General features: G+C 40.9%; 1 protein-coding gene across 2 annotated transcripts in view, besides 1 other annotated feature; it reads left to right on the top strand.

The window, feature by feature from the left end:
• Window positions 1–12,917: 12,917 nt before the first annotated feature.
• Window positions 12,918–16,444, top strand: part of FLACC1 (flagellum associated containing coiled-coil domains 1) — a 76,019-nt gene continuing 72,492 nt past the window's right edge. Inside the window, exons 1-2 of one of the 2 annotated variants that reach the window (XM_024452696.2) lie at window positions 12,918–13,087; window positions 14,521–14,613. The gene's annotated coding sequence lies outside the window, so the exon portion shown is untranslated. The remainder of the gene's footprint in view (window positions 13,088–14,520; window positions 14,614–16,444) is intronic. The other variant, XM_047443393.1, reaches the window with a different exon arrangement.
• Window positions 13,291–13,340: an enhancer, noted in NCBI's record as "active region_16990". NCBI's record gives its function as "activates an Ori minimal core promoter by ATAC-STARR-seq in GM12878 lymphoblastoid cells {active_cell/tissue: GM12878}" and the evidence as "EXISTENCE:reporter gene assay evidence [ECO:0000049][PMID:35858748]".

Below are 16,444 nucleotides of genomic sequence, written 5' to 3'. Positions count from 1 at the left end.
TTTGTCTCCCTGTGTCTTTGTCACAGCTGTCTGCACAGGTAATCCTGTACTAAATCTTTTCTGTTATGTTTTTGGTTAGAAAACAACCTCTACTTGTCAAACCAACACATACACAAGAAACCACTAATAGTAATAATAAACAGATCTTAATGTATTTTCCTAGATATTTTTTAAAATAGCATAGACAGTATCTATGTATACCATAATACTTCCTTAGCAAAAGTAACAGCAACATAAAAATAAAATCTAAAGTCATTGATATGCAGATACCAAGTTTGAGAAGATTCGGGAAATATGAAGCAGTTCTTTTCCTGTAGTCCACAGTTTTCTGTTGATGCTCTTAGCTATTTAAAAGTTATTTCCAAGAAGCTAAATTTGAACATTGTTAGACTCTAACAGAAAAGGTCTTTTGATACTTTGTCTTCTTCACAATTTAATTTCTTTTTTTTTTATAATTTCCATTTTTATTTTAGATTCTGGGATATATGTGCAGGGTTGTTACCTGGATATGTTCCATGAGGCTGAGGCTTAGAGTATGATAGATCCTGTTACCCAGATACAGAGTATAGCATCCAATACATAGTTTTTCAACCCTTTCCCCCCTCCATCCCTGCTGTAATAGCCCCCAGTTTCTATTGTTGCCATCTTTATGTCCTTGAGTAGCCAGTGTTTACCTCCCACTTGTAAGTGAGAACATGCAGTATTTGGTTTTCTGTTTCTGTGTTAATTTGCTTAGGATAATGACCTCTACCTACATGCATGTTGCCATGAAGGACATGATTTCAGGGTTTTTTATGGCTGCATACTATTCCATGGTGTATATATACAACATTTTCCTTATCCAGTCCACCACTGATGGACACTTGGGTTGATTCCATGTCTTTGCTATTGTGAATAATGCTGCGATGAACATGAATGCATGTATCTTTTTGTAGAATGATTTATTTTCTTTTGGATGTATACCCAATAGTGGAATTACTGGGTTGAATGGTAGTTCTGATTTAATTTCTTTGAGAAATCTCCAAACTGCCTTCCAAAGTGGCTGAGCTAATTTACATTCCCACCAACGGTGTACGAGCATTCCCTTTTCTCCACAGCCTCGCTAGTATCTGTTTTTTTGTTTATTTGTTCATTATGAGACAGAGTCTTGCTCTGTCACCCAGGCTTGAGTGCAGTCGTGCAATCATGGCTCACTGCAACCTCAACCTCCTGTGCTCAATCGATCCTCCCACCTCAACTTCCCAAGTAGCTGGAAGTGCAGGTGTGTTCCATAAAGTCCAGTTAATTTTTGTATTTTTTGCAGAGATAGGGACTCACCATGCTGCCCAGGCTGGTCTCAAATTCCTGAACTCAAGCGATTCTCCTGCCTTGGCCTCTGAAAGTGCTGGGATTACAGACATGAGCCACTGCATCTGGCACATATTATTATTACTATTATTATACTTTAAGTTCTGCGGTACATGGCAAAACATGCAGGTTTGTTGCATAGGTATACACATGCCATGGTGGTTTGCTGCACCCATCAACCCGTCATCTACGTTAGGTATTTCTCCTAATGCTGTCCCTCCCCTAGGCACCCCCCACCCCCCAACAGGCCCTGGTGTGTGATGGTCCCCTCCCTGTGTCCATGTGTTCTCATTGATCAACTCCACTTATAAGTGAGAACATGCAGTGTTTGGTTTTCTGTTCTTGTGTTAGTTTGCTGAGAATGATGGTTTCTAGCTGCATCCATGTCCCTGCAAAGGAAACGAACTCATCCTTTTTATGGCTGCATAGTATTCCATGGTGTATATGTGCCACATTTTCTTTATCCAGTCTATCATTGATGGGCATTTGGGTTGGTTCCAAGTCTTTGCTATTGTGAACAGTGCTGCAATAAACATACGTGTGCATGTGTCTTTATAGTAGAATGATTTATAATCTTTTGGGTATATATCCAATAATGGGATTGCTGGGTCAAATGATATTTCTAGTTCTAGATTCTTGAGGAATTGCCACACTGTCTTCCACAGTGGTTGAACTAATTTATACTCCCACCAACAGTGTAAAAGCATTTCTATTTCTCCACATTCTCTCCAGCATCTGTTGTTTCCTGACTTTTTAATCATTGCCATTCTAACTGGAGTGAGATGGTATCTCATTGTGGTTTTGATTTCCATTTTCTCTAATGACCAGTGATGAGGTTTTTTTTTCATATGTTTGCTGGCTGCATAAATGCCTTCTTTTGAGAAGTGTCTGTTCATATCCTTTGCCCACTTTTTGATGGGGTTGTTTGTTTTTTTGTTGTAAATTTTTTTAAGTTCTTTGTAGAGTCTGGATATTAGCCCTTTGTCAGATGGATAGATTGCAAAAATTTTCTCTCATTCTCTAGGTTGCCTGTTCTCTCTGATGGTAGTTTCTTTGGCTGTGCAGAAGCTCTTTAGTTTAATTAGATCCCATTTGTCTATTTTGACTTTTGCTGCCATTGCTTTTGGTGTTTTAGTCATGAAGTCTTTGCCCATGCCTATGTTCTAAATGGTATTGCCTAGGTTTTCTTGTAGGGTTTTTATGGTTTTAGGGCTTATGTTTAAGTCTTTAATCCATCTTGAGTTAATTTTTGTATGAGGTGTAAGGAAGGGATACAGTTTCAGCTTTCTGCATATGGCTAGCCAGTTTCCCCAGCACCATTTTATTAAATAGGGAATCCTTTCCCCATTGCTTGTTTTTGTCAGGTTTGTCAAAGATCAGATGGCTGTAGATGTGTGGTGTTAATTCTGAGGGCTCTGTTCTGTTCCCTTGGTCTATATATCTGTTTTGGTACCAGTACCATGCTGTTTTCGTTACTGTAGTCTTGTAGTATAGTTTGAAGTCAGGTAGCGTGATGCCTCCAGCTTTGTTCTTTTTGCTTAGGATTGTCTTGGCTATGCAGGCTCTTTTTTGGTTCCGTATGAAATTTAAAGTAGTTTTTTCCAATTCTGTGAAGGAAGTCAGTGGTAGCTTGATGGGGATAGCATCAAATCTATAAATTACTTTGGGCAGTATGGCCATTTTCACGGTATTGATTCTTCCTATCCATGAGCATGGAACGTTTTTCCACTTGTTTGTGTCCTCTCATTTCCTTGAGCAGTGGTTTGCAGTTCTCCCTGAAGAGATCCTCACATCCCTTGTAAGTTGGATTCCTAGGTATTTTATTCTCTTTGTAGCAATTGTGAATGGGAGTTCACTCATGATTTGGCTCTCTGTTTGTCTGTTATTGGTGTATAGGAATGCTTGTATTTTTGCACATTAATTTTGTATCCTGAGACTTTGCTGAAGTTGCTTATCAGCTTAAAGGAGATTTGGGGCTGAGACGATGGGGTTTTCTAAATATACAATCATGTCACCTGCGAACAAAGACAGTTTGACTTCCTCTTTTCCTAATTGAATACCCTTTATTTCTTTCTCTTGCCTGATTGCCCTGGCCAGAACTTCCAATACTATGTTGAATAGGAGTGGTGGGAAAGGGCATCCTTGTCTTCTGCCAGTTTTCAAAGGGAATGCTTCTAGTTTTTGCCCATTCAGTGTGATATTGGCTGTGGGTTTGTCATAAATAGCTCTTATTATTTTGAGAAATGTTCCGTCAATACCTAGTTTATTGAGAGTTTTTAACATGAAGGGCTGTTGAATTTTGTTGAAGGCCTTTTCTGCATCCATTGAGATAATCATGTGGTTTTTGTCATTGGTTCTGTTTATGTGATGGATTACGTTTATTGATTTATGAATGTTGAACCAGCCTTGCATCCCAGGGATGAAGCCGCTTGATCATGGAGGATAAGCTTTTTGATATGGTGCTGGATTCTGTTTGCCAGTATTTTATTGAGGATTTTAGCGTCAATGTTCATCAGGGATATTGGCCTAAAATTTTCTTTTTTTGTTGTGTCTTAGCCAGGTTTTGGTATCAGGATGATGCTGGCCTCATAAAATGAGTTAGGGAGGATTCCCTCTATTGTTTGGAATAGTTTCAGAAGGAATGGTACCAGCTCCTCTTTGTACCTCTGGTAGATTTCGGCTGTGAATCCATCTGGTCCTGGGTGTTTTTTTGGTTGGTAGGCTATTAATTGCTGCCTCAATTTCAGAACCTCTTATCAGTCTATTCAGGGATTTGACTTCTTCCTGGTTTAGTCTTGGGAGGGTGTATGTGTCCAGGAATTTGTCCATTTCTTCTAGATTTTCTAATTTATTTTCATAGAGGTGTTTATAGTATTCTCTGATGGTAGTTTGTATTTCTGTGGGATCAGTGGTGATATCCCCTTTATCATTTTTTATTACATCTATTTGATTCTTCTCTCTTTTCTTCTTTATTAGTCTTGCTAGCAGTCTATTAATTTTGTTGATCTTTTCAAAAACCAGCTCCTGGATTCATTGATTTTTTGAAGGGTTTTTTGTGTCTCTGTCTCCTTCAGTTCTGCTCTGATCTTAGTAATTTCTTGTCTTATGATAGCTTTTGAATGTGTTTGCTCTTGCTTCTCTAGTTCTTTTAATTGTGATTTAGGGTGTTGATTTTAGATCTTTCCTGCTTTCTCTTGTGGGCATTTAGTGCTATAAATTTCCCTCTACGCACTACTTTAAATGTGTCCCAGAGATTGTGGTATGCTGTGTCTTTGTGTCACTGGTTTCAAAGAACATCTTTGTTTCTGTCTTAATTTTGTTATTTACCCAGTAGTCATTCAGGAGCAAGTTGTTCAGTTTCCATGTAGTTGTGCCGTTTTTAGTGAGTTTCTTATTCCTGAGTTCTAATTTGATTGCACTGTGGTCTGGGACACTGTTATAGTTTCCTTTCTTTTGCATTTGCTGAGGACTGTTTTACTTCCAATTATGTGGTCAATTTTAGAATAAGTGCGATGTGGTGCTGAGAAGAATATATATTCTGTTGCTTTGGGGTGGAGAGTTCTGTAGATGTCTATTAGGTCTGCTTGGTGCAGAGCTGAGTTCAAGTCCTGGATATCCTTGTTAATTTTCTGTTTCATTGATCTGTCTAATATTGACAGTGGTGTGTTAAAGGCTCCCACTATTATTCTGTGGGAGTCTAAGTCTTTTTGTAGGTCTCTAAGACTTGCTTTATGAAGCTGGCTGCTCCTTTATTGGATGCATATATATTTAGGATAGTTAGCTCTTCTTGTTGCATTGATCCTTTTACCATTATGTAATTCCCTTCTTTGTCTCTTTTGATCTTTGTTGATTTAAAGTCTGTTTTATCAAAGACTAGGATTGCAACCCCTGCTTTTTTTTTTGCTTTCCATTTGCTTGGTAAATATTCCTCTATCCCTTTATTTTGAGCCTATGTGTGTCTTTGCATGTGAGATGGGTCTCCTGAATACAGCACACCGATGGGTCTTGACTCTTTATGCAATTTGCCAGTCTGTGTCTTTTAATTTGGGCATTCAGCCCATTTACATTTAAGGTTAATATTGTTATGTGTCAATTTGATCCTGCTATTATGATGCTAGCTGGTTATTTTGCCTATTAGTTGATGCAGTTTCTTCATAGTGACGATGGCCTTTACAGTTTGGTATGTTTTTGCAGAGGCTGGTAGTGGTTTTTCCTTTCCATGTTTAGTATTTCCTTCAGGAGCTCTTGTAAGGCAGGCTTGGTGGTGACAAAATCTCTCAGCATTTGCTTGTCTGTAAAGGATTTTATTTCTCCTTCGCTAATGAAGCTTAGTTTGGCTGAATATGAATTTCTGGGTTGAAAATACTTTTCGTTAAGAATGTTGAATATTGGCCCCCCCTCTCTTCTGTCTTGTAGGGTTTCTGCTGAGAGATCCACTGTTAGTCTGATGAGCTTCCCTTTGTGGGTAACCCAAACTTTCTCTCTGGCTGCCCTTAACATTTTTTCCTTCATTTCAACTTTGGTGAATCTGACGATTATGTATCTTGGGGTTGCTCTTCTCGAGGAGTATCTTTGTGGTGTTCTCTGTATTTCCTGAATTTGAATGTTGGCCTGCCTTGCTAGGTTGGGGAAGTTCTCCTGGATAATATGCTGAAGAGTGTTTCCAACTTGGTTCCATTCTCCCTGTCACTTTCAGGTACACCAATCAAATGTAGATTTGGTCTTTTCACATAGTCCCATATTTCTCGGAGGCTTTGTTCGTTTCTTTTCCCTCTTTTTCTCTAATCTTGTCTTCTCACTTTATTTCATTGAGTTGATCTTCAATCTCTGATATCCTTTCTTCTGCTTGATCGATTCAGCTATTGATACCTGTGTATGCTTCTCGAAGTTCTTGTGCTGTGTTTTTCACCTCCATCAGGTCATTTATGTTCTTCTCTGAACTGGTTATTCTAATTAGCAATTCATCTAACCTTTTTTCAAGGTTCTTAGCTTCCTTGCATTGGGTTAGAACATGCTCCTTTAGCTCGGAGGAGTTTGTTATTACCCACCTTCTGAAGCCTACTTCTGTCAATTCATCAAACTCACTCTCCGTCCAGTTTTGTTCCCTTGCTGGCAAGAAGTTGTGATCCTTTGTAGGAGAATAGGCATTCTGGTTTTTGGAGTTTTCAGCCTTTTTGCACTGGTTTCTCCCCATCTTCGTGGATTTATCTACCTTTGATCTTTGAAGTCGGTGATCTTCGGAGGACGTCTCTGAGAGGACATCCTTTTTGTTGATGTTGATATTATTCCTTTCTGTTTGTTAGTTTTCCTTATAACAGTCAGTCAGACCCCTCTGTTTCAGGTCTACTGGAGTTTGTTGGAGGTCCACTCCAGACCCTGTTTGCCTGGGTATCACCAGCAGAGGCTGCATAACAGCAAAGATTGCTGCCTGTTCCTTCCTCTGGAAGCTTTGTCCAAAAGGGGCACCTGCCAGGTGCCAGCCAGAGCTCTCCTGTGTGAGGTGATAGATGCATGGTCGGCCCCTACTGGGAGGTGTCTCCCAGTCAGGATACACGGGGGTCAGGGACCCACTTGAGGAGGCAGTCTGTCCCGTATCAGAGTTGGAACGCTGTACTGGAAGATCCGCTGCTCTCTTCAGAGCTGCCAGGCAGGGACATTTATGTCTGCTGAAGCTGCGCCCCTAACCGACCTTCCCCCAGGTGCTCTGTCCCAGGAAGGTGGGGATTTTATCTGCAAGTCCCTGACGGGCTGCTGCCTTTTTTTCAGAGATGCGCTGCCCAGAGAGGAGGGATTCTAGAGAGGCGGTCTGGCTGCAGCGGCCTTGCTGAGCTGTGGTGGGCTCCACCCAGTTCAAACTTCCCAGCAGCTTTGTTTACACTGTGAGGGTAAAACCGCCTACCAAAGCCTCAGCAATGGCGGATACCCCTCCCCTGCACCAAGCTCGACCATCCCAGGTCGATCTCAGACTGCTGTGCTGGCAGCAAGAATTTCAAGCCTGTAGATCTCAGCTTGCAGGGCTCTTTGGGGGTGGGACCCGCCAAGCCAGACCACTTGGCTCCCTGGCTTCAGCCCGCTTTCCAGAGGAGTGAGCTGTTCTATCTCACTGGTGTTCCAGGTGCCACTGGGGTATTGAAAAACAAAACAAAACAAAACAAAACTCCTGCAGCTAGCTTGATGTCTGCCCAAATGGCCACCCAGTTTTGTGCTGGAAACCCAGGGCCCTGGTGGCATAGGCACCAGAGGGAATCTCCTGATCTGTGGGCTGTGAAGAGCGTGGGAAAAGCACGGTATCTGGGCTGGAGTGCACGGTACAGTCCCTAATGGCTTCCCTTGGCTAGGAGAGGGAGTTCCCAACCCCTTGGGCTTCCCGGGTAAGGCAACGCCCTACCCTGCTTCAGCTCACCCTCGTTGGCCTGCGCCCACTGTTCAACCAGTCCCAATGAGATGAACCAGGTACCTCAGTTGGAAATGCGGAAATCACCCACCTTCTGCATTGATCTCACTGGGAGCTGTAGACTGGAGCTGTTCCTATTCAGCCATCTTGCCCAGGGCTTCCACATATCTTATTTTTTGACTTTTTAATGATAGCCATTCTGACTGGTGTGAGATGTTATATTCACAGTGGTTTTGATTTTCATTTCTCTTACGATTAGTGATGTTGAGCATTTTTTCATGTTTGTTGTCCACTTGTATGTTTTCTTTTGAGAAGTGTTTGTTCATGTGTTTTGACCATTTTTAAATGGGTTTATTAAGTTTTTGCCCATTCAGTTGTTTAAGTTCCTTATAGATCCTGGATATTAGACCTTTGTCAGATGCATAGTTTGCAAATAATTTTCTCACATTATATAGGTTGTCTGTTTACTATCGAGGGCTTAGTCATAAATTCTTTCCCAAGGCCCATGTCCAAAATAATGTTTCCTAGGTTTCTTCTAGGATTCTTACAGTTTGAGGTCTTATATTTAAATCATTAATCCATCTTTGATTTTTATATATGGTGAAAGGTAAGGGTCCAGTTTCATTCTTCTGCATATGGCTGGCCAGCTGTCCCAACACCATTTATTGAATAGGGAGTCCTTTTCCCACTGCTTATTTTTGTTGACTTTGTCAAAGATCAAATGGCTGTAGGTGTGTGGCTTTATTTCTGGATTCGGTATTCTGTTTCACTGATCTATGTTTTTGTACCAATACAATGCCATTTTGGTTACTGTAGCTTTGTAGTGTAGTTTGAAGTCAGGTAATGAGATGCCTCCAGCTTTTCTCTTTTTGCTTAGGATTGCTTTGGCTATTTAGGCTCCTTTTTGATTCCATATGAATTTTAGAATGCTTTTTTTCTAGTTCTGTGAAAAATGATATTGGTAGTTTGATAAGAATAGTTTTCACTCTGTACATTGTTTGGGGCAGTATGGCCATTGTAATGATATTGAGTATTCCTATCCATTATCATAAAATATTTTTCCATTTGTGTCATCTGTGATTTATTTCAGCAGTGTTTTACAGTTCTTCTTGTAGCTGTCTTTCACCTCCCTGATTAGATGTATTCCTAGGTATTGTGTGTATGTTTGTGTGGCTGTTGTAAGTGGAATTGTGTTCTTGATTCTGCTCTCAGCTTGAATGTTATTGCTGTATAGAAATGCTACTGATTTTTGTATCCTGAAACTTACTGAAGTCGTTTATCAGTTCCAGGAGCCTTTTGGCAGAGTCTACGGTTTTCTAGGTATACAGTCATCATCAGCAAAGAGAAATGGTTTAGCTTAGTTTCCTATTTGGATGCCTTTTGTTTCTTTCTCTTGCCTGATTGCTCTGGCAAAATCTTCCAGTACAGTTTTGAATAGGAGTGGTAAAAATGGGCATCTTTGTCTTGTTGCTGTTCGCAATGGAAATGCTTCCTATATTTGCCTGTTCACTATGATGTTGATTGTGGATTTGTCATAGATGGCTCTCATTATTTTGAGATAATTTCCTGTGATGCCTAGTATCTTGAGACATTTTATCAGGAAGGGATGTTGGATTTTATCAAAAGCCTTTTCTGCATCTACTGAGATGATCATATGATTTTTTTTTTTTTTTTTTTTTTTTTGAGACAGAGTCTCACACTATCACCCAGGCTGGAGTGCAGTGGTGCAATCTCGGTTCACTGCAACCTCCACCTCTAGAGTTCAAACGATTTTCCTGCCTCAGCCTCCTGAGTAGCTGTGGTTACAGGTGTGTGCCACCATGCCCAGCTAATTTTTGTAATTTTAGTAGAGACAGGTTTTCACATGTTGCCCAAGCTGGTTTCAAACTCCTGACCTCAGGTGATCCACCTGCCTCAGCTTCCCAAAGTGCTGGGATTACAGGCATGAGCCACCCTACCCGGCCTGATTTTTGTTTTTAATTCAATTCTTTTTATATGGTGAATCACATTTGTTGATTTGCATATGTTTAACCAACCTTGCATTCCAAGAATGAAGCCTACTTGATTATGGTGAATTAGTTTTTTGATGTGCTGTTGGATTCAGTTTATTAGTATTTTGTTCAGGATTTTTGTGTCTATGTTCATAGGGATTACTGGCCTTTAGTTTTCTTTTTTCATTGTGTCTTTGCCCAGTTTTGGGATTAGAATGATACCAAAACTGGCTTCATACAATGAGTTAGGGAGAAGTCCTTCCTTAGTTTTTTTTAATAGTTTCAGTAGAGTTGGTATCAACTCTTCTTTGTATATCTGGTAGAATTTGGCTGTGAATTCTTCTGGTCTGGGCCTTTTTTTGGTGGTTAAATTTTTTATTACTGATTCAATTTTGGAACTTAATGTTAGTCTATTCAGGCTTTCGATTTCTTCTTGATTTAATCTTGGGAAGTTGTGTGTTTCCGGGAATTTATCCATTTCCTCTAGGTTTCTAGTTTTTGTGCATAGAGGTGTTCATAATAATCTCTGAGGATCTTTTGTATTTCTCTCAGTTATAATGTCACCTCTGTCCTTTCTGACTAGGCTTACTTGGATCTTCTTTTCTTTGTTAATTTAGCTAGCAGTCTATCAGTCTTGTTTATTTTTTTCAAAGAACCAACTTTTGGTTTCATTGATTCTTTGTATGGATTTTGGGGTCTCAATTTCATTCAGTGCTGCTCTGACTTATTTCTTTTCTTTGCTGGCTTTGGGATTAGTTTGTTCTTTTCCTGTTTCCTCTATGTGTGATGTTAGATCATTAATTTAAGATCTTTCTAACTTTTTGAGGTAGGTGTTTACTGCTATAAACTTTCCTCTTAAATATTGCTTTTGCTGTATCCCAGAGATTTTGATATATTGTTTCTGTTTTCATTAATTTCAAAGAATTTTTTTATTTCTACCTTAATTCCATTGTTTACCCAAAAGTGATTCAGGAGCAAGTTGTTTATTTTCCATGTACTTATGTGGTTTTGAACAGTCTTCTTGATACTGATTTCTATTTTTATTCCACTGTGGTCTGAGAGTATGGTTGTTATGATTTTGATTTTTTTTTTAAATTTCTTAAAACTTACTTTATGACCAAGCATGTGGTCAATCTTGGAGTCTGTTCTGTGTGCAGATGAGAGGAATGTATATTCTGTGGTTGATGGGTGGAATATTCAGTAGATGTCTATTAGGCCCAATTGGTCAAGTGTTGAAGTTAAGTCTAGAATTTCTTTGTTGTTTTCTGCCTCAGTGATCTCTCTAATGCTGTCAATGTGGTGTTGAAGTCCCCCACTACTATTGTGTGGCTAAGTCTTTTTGTAGGTCTAGAAGTACCTGTTTTATGAATCTGGTTGCTCTATTGTTGGCTGTATATATATTTAGGGTAGTTAAGTCTTCTTGTTGAATTAACTCTTTATCGTTTGTCCTTTTCTTTACTGTTGTTGGTTAAAAGTGTGTTTTATCTGATATATGAATAGCAACCCCTACCCATTTTTTGTTTTCTGTTTGCATGGTAAATCTTTTTCCAACCCTTTACTTTGAGCCTATGGATGTTATTAATGTGTGACAATGGTCAGTCGAAGGTAGCAAATGGATGGCTTTTGTTTTTTTATCCAACTTGCCACCCTGTGCCTTTTAAGTGAGGTGTTTAAACCATTTACATTCAAGGTTAATATTGATATGCAAGGTTTTGATTCTATCATGAGATTGTTAGCTGGTTGTTTTGCAATTTCTGTGGTGTGGTTGCTTTATAGGATCTGTGGGCTATGTTCTTAAAAGTGTGTTTCTGTGATAGCACATATCATTCTATCGTCTCCGTGTTTTGAACTCCTTTAAGAATCTTTTGTACAGCTGATCTGGTGGTAACATATTCCCTTAGCTCTTGCTTATCTAGAAAATATTTTCTTTCTCCTTTGCTTATGAAGCTTAATTTGGAGGGATATGACATTCTTGGCTGGAATTTCTTGTCTTTAAAAATGCCGAAAAAAGACTTCCAATCTCCCCTGGCACGTAAGGTTTCTGCTGAGAAGTCCATTGTTAGCCTGATGCATTATCTTTGTACACAATCCGACCTTTTTCTCTAGCTGCCTTTAAAATGTTTTCTCCTGGGCGCGGTGGCTCACACCTGTAATCCCAGCACTTTGGGAGGCCAAGGTCAGCAGATCACTTGAGGTCAGGAGTTCAAGACCAACCTGACCAACATGGCAAAACCCGGTCTCTACTAAAAATATAAAAATTAGCTGGCCGTGGTGGTATGCACCTGTAGTCGCAGCTACTCAGGAAGCTGAGGCTAAAGAATCGTTTGAGCCCAGGAGGAGGAGGCTGCAGTGAGCCAAGATAATGCCACTGCACTCCAGCCTGAGTGACAGAGTGAGACTCCATCTTGAAAAATATATATATATATATTTTCTTTAGCATTGACCTTGGACAGTCTGGTGGCTATATACCTTGGTGATGCTCATGTTGTATGGTATCTTGCAGGTGTTCTCTGGATTTCTTGTATCTGGATGTCTACCTCTAGCAAGATTAAGGAAACTTTTTTGAATTATTCCCTCAAATATGTTTTCCAGGTTGTTCACTTTTTTCCTTCTCAGGAATGCCAGTAATTCACAGGTTTGGTTGTTTTACATAATCCCATATTTCTCAAAGCCTTTGTTCACCTTTAAAAATTATTTTTTCCTTATTTTTGTGTAACTGAGTTAGCTCAAAAGATCAGTCTTCAAGCTCTGAAATTCTTTCTTCTGCTAGGTCCAGACTATTGATAAAGCTTTCAATTGTATTTTGAAATTCCCTGAGTGAGTTTTTCAACTTCAGAAGCTCTGATTGATTTCTTTATAAGATGTTTATCTCTTGCTTCATTTCCTGGATTGCTTTAGAAGTTTTGTGTTGTTGATTTTTAACCTTGACTTGGATCTCATTGATCTTCCTTGTAATCCATGCTTTGAATTATTTATCCGTTCTTTCTGAGTTTCTATTTTGGCTATAGACCATTGCTGGAGAGCAAGTTTGATCCTTTGGTGGTGTCACTATATTGAGATTTTTCATGGTGCCAGAATTCTCGCACTGATTCCTTCTCATCTGGAGATGCTGGCATTTTAATTTTATAGTATTTTCATATAGGTTAGGATTATTTATTTTTCCTTCTGTCCCTATAATATTATTGGGGTTTTTTTTCTTTCCCTTTCCCTTTTCCCCCCTCTCTAGGGAGTGTGACTATAAAGAATGCTGGGTAGGGTCTTTTGGCTTTGCTTCTATAACCCTATTCACTTCTGTCAGCAGGTTTTATACTGGGCTGTGCAGTTCAACCTACAAACCAGTAGATGGTGCTAATAGGTAAGAGCCTGCTATGGCCAATGTGACTGAGTATATACTTGATCCTTGTTTATGGGGAAAAGCTCTGTTACCTCAGGCAATGAGCTGATTCATGGGGTGCATAGTGGTCTGAGCTCCCTGCTCAGACACAGGGAGGGAGGGGCCAAAATGAGCAGAGCTGGACTAGGCAGGTCCAACTACAGGTCCCCTGATGGCAGGTACAAGTACCAGCACTGAGGGAGAATGCAGTGGGTAGCCACTACCAAGCACCCAGAGATGCTTGGGAAATTTCCTCGACCCCAAGTTCCCTGCAAAGGGATGGGGGCGGCTTAAACTAATCCAGTAGAGTGACTGCTCCAGATGCCTGGAGCTCTATCTAGGCATGGAGCCCCACTGCACCAGGATCTATGCACAGGAAGGGTGAGGTGCTCAGGCTGCTGTTCCAGGCAAGTGAGTGCTCTAAATGCCTAGAGATCTGCCTGAGCATGGAGGAGAGAGGGCCCCCCATACCAAGACCTCTGCGTAGGAGGGTTTGGGTGACTCAGACTGCTGATCGAGGAAAATGGGTGCTCCGAATGCCTGATGATCTGCCTGGTCATGGAGCAGAGAGGGCCTTGCTGCACCATGATCTATGTCTTGGAATGGGGAGGGGCAGCGGCTCAGGCTGCTGAACCAGATGAGCAAGTGCACCTAATGCCTAGAGATCTGCCGGGGTGCAAAATGGAGAGGGCTTTCCCACACCCAGATCTCTGCACAGGAAAGGTAGGGCACTCAGGCTGCTAGTCCATGTGAGCAGGTGCTCCAAATGCCTGGAGATCTGCCTAGAGTTGGAGTGGAGAGGGCACCCTTGCACCACAATCTATACACAGGAAAGGTAGGACAACTCAGGCTGCTGATCCAAGGAAGGGGGTGCTCCAGATACCTGGAGATCTGCCTGGGTGTGGAGCAGAGAGAGCCACGCTGTACCACAATCTATGTCCATGAAGGGTGAGGCAGCTCAGGCTGCTGGTCCAGACAAGCAAGTGCTCCAAATGCCTGGATTTCTGCCTGAGGGTGGAGCAGAGGGCTCTGCTGCACCACAATCTCAGGGGAGCAGGCTGGGTCACCCTGCAATGACATATGCAGACTAGTTCCAGGTTACCAAGCTAGCCCTGGCTGCAAGTCTCATCACACAGGAGAAACTGCAGCTGTAGCAGCTCTCCTCCCACCTCAGGCCTGCAAAGCGGGAGAGCACAATCCCTGCACCTACTACTGAGGCTCTTTGCACAGTTCTGGCTATGGAGACTCCTACCCTAAGCCAGAGCAGGTGCTCCAATTGCTGACCCAAGACTAAAATGCCTGTGTGGCCACACTGCTAGGTCACCAAAGAATGCCTGGATTAAAAATGGCACCCTGCTTTCAGTCCTGAGTCTGGGAAAATGTTTGCAGCTTTTCTCTATGTCTTTTCCTCACAGTGTTTCCAAGCCGCTTCCCCAAGTTAGCTCCAGAGCTTGCGAGAAACAAAGTGCTCTCCCTCAGCCTGGGTTGCCTGGATCCCAAGTGGAAAGGTGAGTCATAGAGGGAGGCTGTCTGCCTCTCCCATGTACTAGGGCTTCACTCATTTTTATCAGCTGCATGCCATCACTGGGGCTGTTTGTCCACATTCTCCTCCCTGGCATCTGGGGTGTCCTTCACAATTCTAGTGGATTCCCATTTTCCTTTTTGGATAAAAACCCACAGAGATGATCTTTACACACTATCTTGCTATTTCCAAGGAGCCAAGGCACACTGAAAGACTCTAATCTGCCATCTTGGAAAAAAAAAAGAAACTGTTTTTTTAAAAAAACTCAGTATCCATTTAGAATTATGACCATCTTGTGAGAAATGAAGCTTGAGACTCTACTTTGATATCAAATTTAGTGCTATTCTCATCATCTTTAATTGTGTTTTCTTTCACAAATGACTACTAGTGGATGTGTTTAAGTCCAAAAAACCTTCTGATGAGGTTTAAGATTTGGGGCTTTAAGCATCCTGTTGACTTCTATTGTTAGTTTCACTATATTAAATTTGAGTTAGGCTAATAGTAAGTTTTATTTTTCTGTTTTTCATTAGTTTTTATGAGTTAAGGGCCAAAATACCACAAAATTTTCAAATGAGCAAATGTTACTGTGCAAATTCAGAAAAGATGCTGAAATACAACTGTTGGCTGGCAGGTCATGGTGCCAGCAATAGCATGAAGTGTTTTGTTCTTTAGTTTAAGAAGTTATGAAGAAAGCACCCCGAAGGTGTTATGAGATGATGAAAAATACAGAAAACCCAAATATATAAAAATCAAAGTATTGTTTCACAAAATTTGATCGTCTTGCCTTCTCAGAAAAATCACTAAGTTGTTCAAAAGCAAGATTTTCACATCACATTCAAACATTATGATAGGCCAGAAAATGCTATGGAGTATTTTAATTTCATATAATTCACTACCACTTCTATGGCTGTTTTTACCATCTCTCAAACAATCTTTAGATCTATCCAGTAATATGAAGAGTTGGTACCAGGCTTCATGTTCCATCTAGATCTACATATATATAAATGTAAGGGTACTCAGGATGCATATTGCACAATGTTCTTCAGCCACCATATGTAGCTCTTGCAAATACCATTCCTGTATGCGAATACCTGTGGAATTGCAAATTAAGGCATTAAAAGAAGCAAAAAATGGGTGCTCAGCACCACTGGAAAATATATTTCATTATGCACAAATCTTGCATTCATGCTATCTGAGAGGTTTTGACAGGTTACCTTTCCTCTTACCTTACTGCTGCTGCCCCAGTCTTTCCTGCACTCCAAAGCAGTGTCTGTGTCTGATCTCAGCAGCAGCATCACCCACAAACCTTTACAGTATTTGGGCACAGTCATCTTTTGTTTTGAAGGTAAAGGGTAAAAGATGTGGTGAAGCATTCCCTGAGACCTGAATGTGGTTAATGATGAGAGTGAATCTTTAGGGTTATGGTTCCTGCTGTTTCAGAGCTGAGCTCCAGATCAAGGGCCCGTGTGTTTTTGTTTTTGTTTTTGTTTTCTTCCTCTTCTGAGATGGAGTCTTGCTCTATCATCCAGGCTTGAATGCAGTGGCACGATCTTGGCTCACTGCAACCTCCGCCTCCTGGGTTTGTACAATTCTTCCACCTCAACCTCCCGAGTAGCTGGGACTACAAGCATGCACCACCACACCCAGCTAATTTTTTTATTTTTAGTAGAGACGGGGTTTCACCATGTTGACCAGGCTGTTCTTAAACTCCTGACCTCAGTTGATCCACCCACCTTGGCCTCTCAAAGTGCTGGAATTACAGGCATGAGCCACTGCACCCAGCCCGGGCCCACGTATTCTTGAACAAATGTAGGTTT

The sequence above is a fragment of the Homo sapiens genome, chromosome 2 (assembly GCF_000001405.40).
Source record: "Homo sapiens chromosome 2, GRCh38.p14 Primary Assembly".
In the NCBI taxonomy this organism is placed as follows: domain Eukaryota; kingdom Metazoa; phylum Chordata; class Mammalia; order Primates; family Hominidae; genus Homo; species Homo sapiens.
This window is presented reverse-complemented; position numbering and strand designations above follow the sequence as displayed.